This window comes from Homo sapiens, chromosome 1 (genome assembly GCF_000001405.40).
Source record: "Homo sapiens chromosome 1, GRCh38.p14 Primary Assembly".
NCBI classification, from domain to species: domain Eukaryota; kingdom Metazoa; phylum Chordata; class Mammalia; order Primates; family Hominidae; genus Homo; species Homo sapiens.
Genome location: NC_000001.11, coordinates 236,469,952 through 236,485,282, shown reverse-complemented (window position 1 = coordinate 236,485,282; position 15,331 = coordinate 236,469,952). Strand labels below are relative to the sequence as shown.

The window sequence follows — 15,331 nt, the reverse complement described above, 5'->3', positions numbered from 1 at the left end:
CCACCCGCCTCGGCCTCCCAAAGTGCTGGGATTACAGGTGTGATGGAGTACTCTCTTTTTTAAAGTCCTGGGTAACCAAAAGGGATTTGGAGTACTCTCTTTGTCAAACACTATTCCCATGGCCTTGATTACCTCACTACTTCCTGACTGTTTTCCCAATAACCATCAGTTTCTGTAGGTCTTTAAAAAATATTTGAGCAAATGACATTACTGATAGTCCACTGATTGTAAACATACTTGCATAAAAAAGATGGGGCAGGTGTTCTGAAGAGTATCACCATGTAATACTAGCATCCTGTTAATTCACCAAAGTACTTTATAACAAAAAAAGTAATAAACCAACAAGACAGGGTCACTTCTCATTGCTGTTTTCTTTTTTCTCATGGGTCAATGAGGCTTTTTATTTTGAGCACAAAATCACTGGGGATCTTGCCTGTGGCCACCCCGGAGATGACACTGGAGGGTCACGTGGCTCCGGTGATTTGGGCCAATTACATGACTGCAAGGCTAGAGCTGCCAACAGGGCTCCAGGGAGCTTGGCTTCTGTAGAAGTTCTTTTTTTTTTTTTTTTTTTCTGGGACGGACTCTCACTCTGTCTCCAGACTGGTGTGCAGTGGCGCAATCTCGGCTCACTGCAACCTGCTTCTGTAGAAGTTCTAAGGAAGAGGTGCGAACTCCACGGCGGTGGGCAAGGGTAGCTAACTAGCAGCGGCCCCTACAAATGTTGCTCGGGGGTCTTGAGCTGCCGGAGTTGACACAAGGGGAGGGGTCTAATTAGCCACCAGGTGACTGAAGGGCTTGCCTGCCCACAGCTTACTTGGCTGGGGGGTTTCTGAAGTTCCTGCCGGCAAACTTAGCCTTGCTGCCCAGCTCCTCTTCAATTCTGAGGAGCTGGTTGTACTTGGCCAAGCGCTCAGATCAGCAAGGGGCACCAGTCTTGAGCTGCCCAGGTCACAGCCCCACCACCAGGTCAGTGATGAAGGTATTTTCAGTCTCCCCAGAATGATGAGGCACCATGACACACCAACCATTGGCCTGGGCCAGCTTGCACGCCTGAAGGGACTCAGTCACAGAGCGAATCTGGTTCACTTTGAGCAGGAGGCAGTTGCACTTCTTCTCATTCACGGCCGAGGCTGTCCTCTTTGGGTTGGTCACTCTGAGATCATCCTCCACTACCTGGATTCCTGCACTGGCCGTGAACTTCTGCCAAGCTCCCCAGTCATCCTGGTCAAAGGGATCTTCAGTAGACACCACTGGGTAGTTTTTGATGAAGGACTTGTACAGGTCAGCCAGACAGTCAGGTGAGATGTACCTGGTGGGGTCGTCGAGAAACTTGAATTCCAGGTCATACTTTCCAGACCTGAAGAACTCGGAGGCCTCTACGTCCATGCTGACGATCACCTTATCAGTGTAGCCAGCTTTCCCAATCGCAGTCTTCAGCAGCTCCAGGCCTTCTTTATTCTCCAGGATGTTGGGAGCAAACGCGCCTCCATCCCCCACACCGGTGGCATCTTTCCCATATTTCTCCTTGATGACATTCTTCAGGCTGTGGTAAACCTCCGCTCCAATGGGCATGGCTTCCCTGAAGTTTGCTGCACCGACTGGGAGGACCATGAACTCCTGCATGGCCAGCTTGGTGACAGCATGAGAACTGCCATTGATGACATTGAACACCGGGACTGGCAAGATGACTTTGGAGTTGCCAGACAAGTCGGCGATGTGGTGGTACAGGGGAACCCCCTTCTCAACAGCACTAGCTTTGCAGGCAGCGAGGGACACTCCCAGAATGGCATTTGCACCAAATTTAGATTTATTTTCTGTTCCATCCATCTCTATCATAAGTTTGTCAATCTTCTCTTGTTCTGTGACGTTCAGTTTCTTGCTAACCAGGACAGGTGCAATAGTTTTATTGATGGGCTCAACAGGCTTTGAGACACCCTTCCCCATATAGCGAGTCTTATCATTGTCCTGGAGCTCTAGGACCTCATAGATACCAGTTGAAGCACCACTGGGCACAGCAGCTCTGAAGAGACCTTCTGAGGTGAAGAGATCAACCTCAACAGTGGGATTCCCACGAGAGTCAAAGAGCTCCCTGGCATGGATCTTGAGAATAGACATGGTGAATTTCTAGCCACTGGGTCTCATTGCCTAGGAGAGAAGTGGAGGGTGCTGCAGACACTCAGGTAAGCATTCCTTGTAGCTGTTTTCTTTGAAACCGTGGGAATGGCACTGATCAGGAGAGATGTTACATATAATGCTGTGGGTATGTCTGGGGCTATCAACAGTCTCAGGACCTATTTAAATCTTTACCGTATTTCAGAGAGAGGATAATTTTATCTTCAACGTGGCATGAATCCATTCCGATTGTAGGACTTTGGCCCTTAGAGGATACTAGAAAATATGTTTTCTTAATTCCAGATTTGAATATTAAATTATAACAGATGTGCAAAAATAAACAGAGATCCACCACCGAAACAAGCTACCCCTCCACAAAACTGCCAGCTTTGGGGAAAACCAGTGTCCACTGTTCCACGTCCTTGTCCTAAACTCTTATAAAACAACAGATTCACATTCCTTCTTGACCTGTGGTTGTTTCAACATCCGGAGAGGCCAATGAAGGAAGAAGAAGAGCTCTAGAAGTGCCTGGAGGGGTCTCCACGCTCCCGCTTGGGCCACTCCTCGTCCACCCACCTGCGCAGAACCTTCTCCACGTCGGCCCTGTGGTAGAGCCTGCAGAGCTCCATCAGCTGGCCCACCGTCCTCTGACTGTTCCGGAGCAAGAACTCCAAGGTGGGGCTCTGTGGCCTCTGCTCCAGGAAGCACAATTCGTCATAGGACATCCCCCATTTGCTTGCAAAATTCCTCCAGTTTTTCACCGTTGGGTGACACGGATCCAGCTTTATCCTGATCACGTCTAGTAAGTCCTGATCATTGAGCAAGTCACTTATGGTGGGGGCCCGGAGCAAGCAGGAGGAACAAGTACAGTTTTCTTTGCAGGAGTTGTCCTTGCTGATCTCTGCAGGGAGAAACAATTTAGTCCACAGGTCAACAAGAGGCCTAACATATGCATTCATTTCTTACATCCTTTATTTTCCTGCTGAATTGTCAAAAGCATCATATGGAAGACTATTTCAGAATGCTCGTTTCTTTCTTTTTTTTTTTTTTTTTGAGATGGAGTCTCGCTCTTTCGCCCAGGCTGGAGTGCAGTGGCACTATCTCGGCTCACTGCAAGCTCCGCCTCCCAGGGGTTCACGCCATTCTCCTGCCTCAGCCTCCTGAGTAGCTGGGACTATAGGCACCCGCCACTGCACCCGGCTAATTTTTTGTGTTTTTAGTAAAGACGGGGTTTCACCGTGTTAGCCAGGATGGTCTCGATCTCCTGACCTTGTGATCCACCCGCCTCGGCCTCCCAAAGTGCTGCGATTATAGGCATGAGCCACCGTGCCTGGCCTCAGAATGCTCATTTCTAATAATGTGTTACTGTTCTTTTTTTTTTTTTTTTTTGATACAGGGTGTCACTCTGTTGCCCAGGCTGGAGTGCAGTGGCATGATCTCGGCTCACTGCAACCTCCGCCCTCCAGGCTCAAGCGATCCTCCCACCTCAGCTTCCCGAGTACCTGGGACTACAGGCACGTACCACCAAACCTGGCTAATCTTTTCTTTCTTTCTTTTTTTTTTTTTTGGTAGAGGTGGGGTTTCACCATGTTTCCCAGGCTGGTCTTGAACTCCTAGACTCAAGTGATCTGCCCACCTTGACCTCCCAAAGTGCTGGGATTACAAGCATGAGCCACCGCACCTGGCTGTGTTATTCTTTATAGCCAAAGATGAATTGCTTTGCTAGAAGGAGTAAGAATTTTTAAAGCCAGTTTCCCTTTCTTTCCAAGACTGTCTATGTCTTACAGTGTGCATTTGTGACACTGCTGGCCAGAATAAGGGCTCCAGCAAACAGAACTCTCTCCGGGGTAAAAGGGGCTGCTGTGTCTGTGAGTAACCAGCCGACACTTGCATGCACCTCAGCCCTTGCCCTTTCCAAGTGACCAGTCAGCCCTGACAGTTTAACACCAAACACAGCCTGTCAGCCTGTAAAAAATGCACAGTTCTTTGAAAGGTCTTTTTTTAAAAACAACAACACAGACATGAAAACTGGAATATCCACTCCATATGCATATTTGAAAACAAGTGAGAGTTGATAGTGCCAGGAATCTTAACTTTTTAAATTTATGGCCCCCTTATGAGCCCTCTGCCTTTACCTGTGTTTTCTTCATCCACAGGCTCCCTTTGAAGTGGCGCCAACACCCTGGGGTGTGTGCAGTGGGAGGGAAAGAGGCAGAAAACTCAGCAGGAGGCTTTTCAGCTGAGCTTCAGCATGAAGAGCATGCGCCTACCCCAGAGGAAGGGCCATCTTTCTACTGAAACTTAAAGACTCAACTGTAGCCTCATTTGATTAGCAGGAGGTATATTTGTAGGAGGATGAAGTTTGTAGGTGAGAGGCGTTGACAAGTCATTTGCAATAAAGTATTAAGTGGTGTCTAAACAACGTGGCAAATTAAGGAGCTTAAATTCTACAACAACACTGAGTCTCATGAACCCTCTGAATTCAGATTTTAACAGCCAAAGGTCACTTTAGAGACCACTGGCTTGGAAAATTCTGGGGAAGGTTATAGTAGCCTTTACTATATATATAACATTGAGTCATGGCCTTCCCAGTTTCGGAAGGTAAAGAATTTGGACCGACGGAGTAACTCTGGTGATCATAAGGGAGCAAACCAGCAATATTGAGGCAAGTGGAAATTAAAAGGTAATAAAACAAGAGCCTTGAAAATAGGCTCATACTCTTTGACCTACTAATGTGACTTCTGGGAATCCACCCTAAGGAGATAATCCAAAATATGAATTTACATAAACATTGTTATCACGGTGTTATTTACATTATTAAGTTTCAAAAACAACCAAAATGTCTACAGTTAGAGGACTAGTGAAATAAATGATTGTGCTACTTGATGGAATATTATTTAAGTAACTATGAAGACAATATGGCAACCTAGAAAATGTTTGTGATGTTATGTGAAAGATGGAAGATAGAAAGAATGTATGAATTCTACGATTAGAACTACATGAAAATCAATGAGTGGATAAAGAAAATGTGATATATATATATATATATATATATATATATATATATATATGGCATACTTAAAAGGCACACTGAGATTATATTAGGGATTTTGTTTTGTTTTTTGAGACAGTCCCACTCTGTTACCCTGGCTGGAGTGCGGTGGCACAGTCATAGCTCATCATAACCTGGAACTCCTGGGCTCAAGCAATTCTCCTGCCTCAGCCTCCCAAGCAGCTGGGACTAGGTGCACACCATCACACTCAGTCAATTTTTAAATTTTTTTGTGGAGATGGAGGTCTTGCTATGTTACCCAGGCTGGTCTTGAACTCTTGGCCTTAAGCAATCCTCCTGCCTCAGTTTCCCAAAGCACCGAGATTGTGGGCAGAAGCCACTGTGCCCAGCCAGTTTTCTTTTTTTTTTTGATTAAACTTTAAAAAAGAAAATGCAGGGAATTGAGTAGTCCAGTTTGGTTGAGCACAAGTTATACCGAGGCAGTCATGGAAAATAAAATAGGAAGAGAGCATGGGGAGCATGGAGTAGAAGCTGGGACTTGGTAACTGGACAGATACAGCAAAAAAAAAGTCTAAAGACTCCAATGAAGCTTAAGTGTACACAGAGAAGCCCAGGTATTCTTAAAAGGCGAATAGAGAGGTTTTTTTTTTCTTTTTTTTTGAGACAGGGTCTTGCTTTGTTGCCCAGGTTGGATGGCAGTGGCACAATCACGGCTCACTGCCGCCTTAACCTCCTAGGCTCAAGCAATACTCTCACCTCAGCCTCCTGAGTAGCTGGGACCACAGACATGCACCAACACACCTGGCTAATTTTTAGATTTTATTTGAGACAGGGTCCCACTATGTTGCACTGGCTGGTTTTGAACTACTGGGCTCAAGTGATCCTCCTGCCTCAGCCTCTCGAATTGCTGGGATTACAGGTATGAGCCACCGTGACTGGCCAGGGAGAAATTTTTTTTCCAGGGTACTTTTTCTTTTTTCTTTTTTAATTTCCATGGTTTATTGAGGAACAGGTGGTATTTGGTTACATGAGTAAGTTCATTAGTGGTGATTTATGAGATTTTGGTGCACCCATCACCCGAGCAGTATACACTGCACCCAATTTGTATCTTTTATCCTTCACCCCCTTCCCACCTTTTCCCTGAGTCCCCAAAGTCTATCGTATCATTCTTATGCCTTTGCGTCCTCATAGCATAACTCCCACTTATGAGTGAGAACATACGATGTTTGGTTTTCCATTCCTGAGTTACTTCACTTAGAATAACAGTCTCGCTGGGCGCGGTGGCTCACGCCTGTAATCCCAGCACTTTGGGAGGCCGAGGCGGGTGGATCATGAGGTCAGCAGATGGAGACCATCCCGGCTAACACGGTGAAACCCAGTCTCTACTAAAAATACAAAAAGTTATCTGGGCGTGATGGCGGGCGCCTGCAGTCCCAGCTACTCAGGAGGCTGAGGCAGGAGAATGGCGTCAACTCGGGAGGTGGAGCTTGCAGTGAGCTGAGCTCGAGCCACTGCACTCCAGCCTGGGTGACAGAGCGAGACTCCGTCTCAAAAATAAATAAATAAAATAAAATAATAATGGTCTCCAAGTCCATCCAGGTTACTGCGAATGCCATTAATTCATTCCTTTTTATGGCTAAATAGTATTCCATCATATATATATACATATATACACATATATATATACACACACACACATATATATATCATATTTATATATCCATCCAGATATATATATATATCCATTTATATATATATATAAATCCATACACACACACACACACACACACACACATATATATATGGATTTTGGATAAACTATTAACAGCTAGGGTTTTCCCCAACTCTCCTGATTATGAGTGAAGATGTGATGCATACCTTTCACATAAATTGGGGCCACATCTTTAATCATCTCACCACTAATAGGATAATTAGGTCAAAAGCATGAGCCTTCTAAGGCTACTGGTGCATGTGCCCCAAATTGCTCTCCAGAAAGAAAGCCTTTACCAGTTTACAGTACGGATTTTTTTTTCTTTCCTTTTCTTTCTTTTTTTGAGACAGTCTCATCCTGCTATCCAGGCTGGAGTGCAGTGGCACAATCTCAGCTCACAGCAACCTCCGCCTCTCGGGTTCAAGCAATTCTCCTGCCTCAGCCTCCTGAGTAGTTGGGACTACAGGCACCCACCATCACACCCGTCTAATTTTTATATTTTTAGTAGAGATGGAGTTTTGCCATGTTGGCCACGCTGGTCTCAAACTCCTGAGCTCAAGTGATCTGCCCGCCTCAGCCTCCCAATGTGCTGAGATTACAGGTGTGAGCCACCGCGCCCGGTCATTTCACCTTTGTCAGCACCAAGTATTCGTTTTAAAAATCTCTTTTCAAGGATTTTTTTTAAGTGGTAGGTTAAAAAATCAGGCCTTATCTTTTTCTATCTCCATACCTTTTCTAGTGTTTCCTTCATGATCAGAACGCCTTCCCTCTACCTCTCACCGAACTTCCTCTGTTGCACTTCTCTTCCTCTAATGAACTTTACCCATCCTAGAAAACCCACCTCAGATTCTCCCTTTCCACGAAGTCTTCCCGGCCCCTGTCTGGAATTCCACCTCACTTGGAACCCCCACATCAGTTTGTTTGCATCTCCTGACCCTGCTTTGTAGTGAGAAACACTGTACGGTTTTCTTATTTCCGCGCAACACCTTAAAATCCTGAGAACAGATAGGTATCTCTGCTCCTGCCTGAGCCTCCCGAGTAGCTGGGACTACAGGCGCCTGCCACCACGCCCAGGTAATTTTTTGTATTTTTAGTAGAGACGGGGTTTCACTCTGTTAGCCAGGATGGTCTCGATTTCCTGACCTCATGATCTGCTCACTTCAGCCTCCCAGAGTACTGAGATTACAGGTGTGAGCCACCGTGCCCGGCCATAATCCAGTTCTTCTAATGACTAATAATACAGTCGTTTATATCCCTGTAAATCATGTATAATAAATACAATCACAAGCATGGAGAAAAGTTTGGAAGGATCTATAACAAAAATATTAACAATGGTTAATTCTGGGTGATGAGAACGCAGGTGATTAATTTTTTCTTTTTTTTTTTTTTGCTTATGGGCACTTTTCAATTTTCTGTAATTATTGTGTTTATTTGGATACTATATATATTTTTGAGACAGGGTCTTGCTCTATGGCCCAGGCTGGAGTGCAGTGCTGCAATTATGGCTCACTGCAGCCTCCACTTCATGGGCTCAAGCAATCCTCCTGCCTCAGCCTCCCGAGTAGCTGGCATGCACCTCCATGCCCAACTAATTTTTTAATTTTTTAAAACTTTTTGTAGGCTGGGCAAGGTGGCTCACGCCTGTAATCCCAGTACTTTGGGAGGCTGAGGGAGGCAGATCACCTGAGGTTGGGAGTTCAAGACCAGCCTGACCAACATGGAGAAACCCAGTCTCTGCCAAAAATACAAAATTAGCCGGGTGTGGTGGCACATGCCTGTAATCCCAGCTACTTGGGAGGCTGAGGCAGGAGAATTGCTTGAACCCAGGAGGCAGAGGTTGCAGTGAACCGAGATCGTGCCACTGCACTCCAGCCTAGGCAACATGAGCAAAACTCCATCTCAAACAAAAAAAAAAAATCTGTAGGGACAGGGGTCTCACTATGTTCCCCAGGCTGCTCTTGAACTCCTGGGCTGAAGCAATCCACCTGCCTCGGCCTCCCGAAGTGCTGGGATTACAGGTGTGAGCCCTGTGCCTGGCCTAAAATATACATTTTTTTAATGTCATAGAAAAATAAGGATTTAAACCACTAAGTCCAGAATTACATGTAATGGTGTCTGAAGGTCCCTTTCTTGTCTTATCTTTGTAAGATTCAGTGTTGGCAATGTTATCGTCAAGAAGAAAAAAACATCAGAAGGTTTCTGTAAAGCTCCTTTATTTATTTATTTATTTATTTATTTATTTATTTATTTGAGATGGAGTCTCGCTGTTGTCAGCTGGGGCTGGAGTGCAATGGCACGATTTTGTCTCACTGCAACCTCTGCCTACCAGGTTCCAGCGATTCTCCTGCTTCAGCCTCCTGAGTTGCTGAGATTACAGGCGCCAGCCAACACACCTGGCTAATTTTTGTATTTTTTAATAGAGACAGGCTTTTACCATGTTGGCCAGGCTGGTCTCGAACTCTTGACCTCAGGTGATCCACCCGCCTTGGCCTCCCAAAGTGCTAGGATTACGGGCATGAGCCACCGCGCCCGGCCTGTAAAGTTTCTTTAAACTGAGTTTATGAAAAGCTCTTATTTCTTTGAACAATCATATCAACCATTATCAGTTTATTTTAAAAAATAATATGCCGAAAGATCTACTAAAGTTTTTTTGTGTGTGTGTTTTCTTTCTTTTTTTTTGAGACGGAGTCTTGCCCTTGTTGCCCAAGCTGGAGTGCAATGGTGCGATCTCGACTCACTGCAACCTCCGACTCCTGGGTTCAAGCGATTCTCCTACCTCAGCCTCCCGAGTAGCTGAGATTAGAGGCGCCTGCCACTACTGCCAGCTAATTTTTTGTATTTATAGTAGAGACGGGTTTTCACCATGTTGGCCAGGCTGATCTCAAACTCCTGACCCCGTGATCTGCCCACCTCAGCCTCCCAAAACGCTGGGATTACCAGCATGGGCCACAGTGCTCGCCCTGTGTGTGTTTTCAATAACACAAGTGACAAACCATTTCCTTAACTGGAATCTACATGAACTGCTAATATAAGTGAATCTATAGTTGCCTTTTAGAATCACAAACTCTAATTAGCTCTCTGGAGGACTTAACACAGAGCAAACAAGGTTTTCTCCTATCAAATACATTTTGTCCTGCTATACTTTAAATAACTATCATATATATTATACATGAAAGGTTAAACTGGGTAATGCCTCGGAGAGGGGAGAGAAAGACTTCAGACCAAAGAAATCTTTCTCAAAAATGGAGAAAAATGGGATTATTTATTTTATTTGTTGGGTTTTTTTTTGTCTTGTTTTGTTTTGTTTTTTGAGACGGAGTCTCGCTCTTGTTGCCCAGGCTGGAGTGCAATGGGGCGATCTCGGCTCACTGCAACCTCTGCCTCCCAGGTTCAAGCGATTCTCCTGCCTCACCCTCCCGAGTAGCTGGGATTACAGGTGTCTGCCACCACACCTGGCTAATTTTTGTATTTTTAATAGAGACGAGGTTTCACCATGTTAGCCAGGCTGGTCTCCAACGCCCATCCTCAAGTGATCCACCCGCCTCAGCCTCCCAAAGTGCTGGGACTACAGGCGTGAGCTATCACACCCAGCCAAAAAATGAGATTATTATTTGATGCTTCTCAAATAACAGGCCAACCACAAGCACAGGGCTGCTGTACAGTGGAAATTCAAAAATTATCTGCTAAATGAACAAATGAATGAGAACTGTGCATTGTCCCTGGGAGGCAAGGTAGATTTGTTATTGTTGTTTAATGAATCTTAATACCTAAAGAGGGAACTTCTATTAAAGGAGAAAGAATGTAGCTGATATCTGCTAGCAGTAAATAGATATTGATGGAAAATACTACAGAATTGGTCTTAAAATACAAAAGATGGATTAATTATTGGTTTGGAGAGGAGAGGGTTGTTGAATAATTAATTATACATAAAAATTAACTTAGATTCTCTAATAATTGGGGTCCCCATTTGCCATGTTTTGATGCTTGACCTGTATATTTTCCACTGGTGCAAAGCAAGAATGAAACACACCACATCAAGTCATTTATGATGACTTCCTATTTTAAAGGCCAAAGCCCCGAGGATTTATTCTTGGTCAGTCTCGTTTGAGCAGTGGCTCAAACGAAGAAAGCCTTTGTCAGGTGAAGAAGGGCCAGGTTTCTTATCATCACGGTAACTGTCATGATGAAGTGACAATGAACACAGTAATTATCACTATCAAAATTCTTGTGCCTAATGTATGGTAGCCCTGCCCTGAGTCCTTGACAAGCATAATCCCAAATCATCCTGATTCTGGGTCTGTATTGGATGGTGCTCTTCGAATCCCAGTGCTCCAACTTCCTCAAGGCTTGACGTTTCAGGGCATTGAACCTCTAGGAACGTCAGACTCCTCATCTATAAAATGGAGGTGGCAGCATTTCCTGTATCGCTTGGACTAAATGAGATGAGGGACAAGATGCCATTTTTGCCAAGTCTTATGCCAATGTTCTTTAAAGATGTTAGGTTTTGATTATTCAGGTATGGTGGTGCACGCCTATAGTCCCAGCTACTCAGGAGGCTGAAGGGGAGGCTCGATTAGCTCAGGAGATTGAGGCTGCAGTGAGCCATGGTGGTGCCACTGCACTCCAAGATGTTAGGTTCTAGATTTACTTATTTATTTAGAGACAGAGTCTCACTCTGTCACCCAGGCTAGAGTACAGTGGCACAATCACGCCTCACTGCAGCCTCCACCTCCCGGGTTCAAACAACGCTCCCACCTCAGCCTCCTGAGTAGCTGGGACCACAGGCGCACGCCACCGGGCCCAGCTAATTTTTTGATTTTTTGGTAGAAATGGGGGAGGGGTCTCACTATGTTGCCCAGGCTGGTCTCGAACTCCTGGACTCAAGCAATCCACCTACATCAGCTTCCCAAATTGTTGGGATTACAGGTGTGAGCCACCACACCTGGCTAGTTTTATTTTTTGAAGGAGGCAGAAGAAAGAGTCCCCAGGCTATCTCCCAGCTCACCTCCTCTGCTGCTCCTCACTGCCCACGCCCGTCCTAGAACACTGAGCTCAGTCCAGCCTCAGGGGCTTTGCCCCAGCAACTTCCTGTCCCTGGCATCCTCCTGTCTTAGATCTCCACGGGCCGGGTCCTTTGCATTGTTTGGGTCTCGCTACCCTTTCCGAGCTAAAGTGGCACCCTCCCCCTACCAGGCTTAATCCCATTAACCTGGCTCATCTTCCTCAAGGCACCTACCACCATATAAAATGACTTACTGATTTTGTGTTTATTATCTGTCTCTCCCAGATAGAATAAGCTCTAAGAGGAAAAGGACTTTGGATGTCTGGTGTCACTGCTGCACACCAGGCACACAGCAGGTGCTCAATAAGTATTTGATGAATATATCAAATGAATGAGGAGTGTGACACAGTTCAAGAAGAAAATCAAATGAAAAATTAGGCTTCTTAGCAGCCCGAAAAGAGCTCTTTATCTAGAAATTGTCAAACCAGCTGATGCAAGTTTTTTTGGTGTTAACAAGGCAGCCGCAAGATTGCTATGGAGAGGACACCGTGTACCATGGAGATTAACGGCATGAGCTTTAGCAGCAGCTAACCCCATGCAGATGTGTGACTTGGACAGGTTACTGAGCTTGCTAAGCCCCTGTCTCACTCTCCAAACAGGGATAATGACACCTCTCTCACAAGGTGGTTGTGAGGATTAAATGAGGTAATCCTTTAAAGCTCCCATCCTAGCACACGTAAGAAGCATGCAACAATGAATAGAATAGCTGTGGGGAAGCATTAATAACCAACAGCCTTTTTCAGGAGAATTGCTTGAGCCCAGGAGGCAGAGGTTGCAGTGAGCTGAGATTGCGCCACTGCACTCCAGCCTGGGTGACAGAGCGAGACCCCATCTCAAAAACAAGCAAACAGTCTTTTAAAAAGCAGTGGTTCTCAACCTTGGCCATAGGATAGACGCCTCCACCCCCAACCCCACCAAACCCCCAGGGAAATTTACAAAACCCTGATGTGTGGTCCCACCCTCGGAGATCCCGATTAATTAGTCTGGGATGCAGGGAGGACGTGGGAATTTTTTAAAGCTCCCCTGGGACTTCTAATGTGCAGCCAGGACTGAAAACCTCCGCCTGCCTTGAAGACATCTCCAGATTAAGTATTTAGTCAGGAGCGCCTGCCAAAATTAGATTTTGGAATTACACCCACTTCTCTTTGAGAGATACCATGTCTGTGGATGATTAAGAGTTCTCAGATACACAGGGCTTCTCCACACTCTCAACCTGATGAGTGGGTTTTCCATGGGGCATTTCTTCCCCCACCTCCCTCCTCTCCATCGTATCCCACTCAAATATTTTAAAATTATACTGTAAAGAAGAGTTCAGGAATCAAGCATGCTCATTAATGTCATTTAAAACAATTGTAAAAAAAAATAGTGAATGTCTGGTAGTGTCTGTATCTAACTTGTAAGTTCATGGCTGGCGGGTTATAAAATATGGGTCAATTAACAGTTAATTGTGAATTGCAACAAGCTTCACAATTCACAAACGTCATGATTAGTTAGGCGTAGAAACGGCTCCAGTCAGGATGTTGGCAGCAGATCACAGACTGACTTAATGTGCCTCCCTGCAGGGAAGGTGCCCTTTTATCTTGCACATTCTGGCTTTTGGAGAGTGATTGCCACGGGAGTGTTTCCCTCCACTGCTGCAAGAGGACTGTTAGCTCTCAGATCATTTGTAAGGATGCTCCCCGGGATAACCAGGTCTTGAGTTAGTTCAAAACCATTAGAGAGTAAACATTTTATATTGGCAACTTCCGAGATAGCTAAGTATTATGGTTCTGAAATAAAATAACTCTATCCCAGGTGGTTATACATGGTCAGATTTGGAGGCTGTAAAATACCAACAAGTGTTGAAGGAGAGTCACATCCTTCTGCAGTAACGGTTATTAAGGGGGTATAATCATGCTTTTTTTTTTTTCTGTGTGTGGTTTCCAGTGTGGTTGGGAAATAAACATATTTAAAATATAAGTTTCTGGCTTTGATAACTCATTGGAATTTGGGGCGCGCACACACACACACACCACATTATTCATCATAAGGGTTATATGTTAGCCGCTTTCAGAAAGTGACGAAGAATTATTTTTATCTACTAAGAAACTGACCCAAGGGCTTTTGGTGGGCGTTTGATCTCTTAACCAAAGGGGAAAAACAACATGATTTCGTTTTCTCTAAAGCATCCTTTTAAGGAGACATTAAGTTGGCAGCAGCACTGGGAAGTAACTGACAGGTTGGGTGGATCCAGGCAAGTAAATCATGTTGGGCCTCAATTTTGTCATAGAATAAAACTGGAGTAGAGAAAGCACGTGAAAAAAACAAGCAAACTCTCACATACAAAAGGACCCAGGTTGGGCTGGGTGCGGTGGCGGAGGCCTGTAATGCCAGCACTTTGGGAGGCCAAGGCAGGTGAATCACTTGAGGTCAGGAGTTTGAGACCAGCCTGGCCAACATGGGGAACCCCCGTCCTTACTAAAAATACAAAAATTAACCGGGTGTGGTGGTGTGCATCTGTAGTCCCAGCACTTTGGGAGGCTGAGGTGGGTGGATCGTCTGAGGTGAGGAGTTCAAGACCAACCTGGCCAACATGGCAAAACCCATCTCTACTAAAAATACAAAAATTAGCTGGGTGTGGTGGTGGGCGCCTGTAATCCCAGCTACTCAGGAGGAGGCTGAGGCAGGAGAGCTGCTTGAACCCAGGAGGCAGAGGTTGCAGTGAGCCGAGATCTCGCCATTGCACTCCAGCCTGGGCAACAAGAGTGAAACTCTGTCTCAAAAAAACAAAAAAAATAACAAAAAAACCCACACTCTGGTGGTTCATTTTGACACAAGTAAAAAATGTTTGAAGATGACCAGAAGCCTGATTAAAATTAACCTGCTAATTAATAATGACTATCATTCAGAAGAGTCCTTGAAGGGTTTACAAATATTTCTAAACAAATTTCTGTATTTATTTTTATTTTAGCTAACGTGCCACATTAGTGTGTAGGGTGTTAGTCTTTAAAGAGTTTAAATATAGATTTTTAAAATTAGAAAATAAATATGTGCTTGTCATAGCAAATCTGAAAATTCAGATGAGCATATGGAAAAAATTAATGCTCCCATTACCCAGGCCAACCACAGTTAACCTTTTAGAAGTTTCCTTGGTTATTTCACCATGCAGCAAGGTATACTTACCAACATGTGATCATTTGTTATATATACATTTGTATACACAGATTAAATGCGGAGGGGCAGTTCTGATACCAGCTCATGTTAGAAATTTTAGAAATATAGGATAGTGGAAAGAAAATAAAAACTCACCAGGCGTGGTGGCTCATGCCTGTAATCCCAGCACTTTGGATGGCTGAGGTGGGAGGAGGCTTGAGCTCAGGGGTTCGAGAAAAGCTTAGGCAACATAGTGAGACACCTGTCATCCCAGCACTTTAGGAGGCCGAAGCAGGTG

At 45.0% G+C, this 15,331-nt stretch overlaps 1 protein-coding gene and 1 pseudogene across 3 annotated transcripts in view, besides 2 other annotated features; both read right to left on the bottom strand.

Moving 5' to 3' along the window:
• Positions 353-15,331, bottom strand: part of EDARADD (EDAR associated via death domain) — a 136,672-nt gene continuing 121,693 nt past the window's right edge. For all 3 annotated transcript variants that reach the window (NM_001422628.1, NM_145861.4, NM_080738.5), the window contains one exon: positions 353-3,016. In NM_001422628.1, the coding sequence (NP_001409557.1) occupies positions 2,634-3,016 (383 nt within the window). In that variant the 3' untranslated portion in view covers positions 353-2,633. The remainder of the gene's footprint in view (positions 3,017-15,331) is intronic.
• Positions 378-2,185, bottom strand: ENO1P1 (enolase 1 pseudogene 1; annotated as a pseudogene).
• Positions 11,707-12,231: an enhancer, noted in NCBI's record as "H3K4me1 hESC enhancer chr1:236636352-236636876 (GRCh37/hg19 assembly coordinates)". NCBI's record gives its function as "activates a minimal SCP1, AML or CMV promoter by ChIP-STARR-seq in naive H9 embryonic stem cells {active_cell/tissue: H9 hESC(naive)}" and the evidence as "EXISTENCE:reporter gene assay evidence [ECO:0000049][PMID:30033119]".
• Positions 13,156-13,730: an enhancer, noted in NCBI's record as "NANOG hESC enhancer chr1:236634853-236635427 (GRCh37/hg19 assembly coordinates)". NCBI's record gives its function as "activates a minimal SCP1, AML or CMV promoter by ChIP-STARR-seq in naive H9 embryonic stem cells {active_cell/tissue: H9 hESC(naive)}" and the evidence as "EXISTENCE:reporter gene assay evidence [ECO:0000049][PMID:30033119]".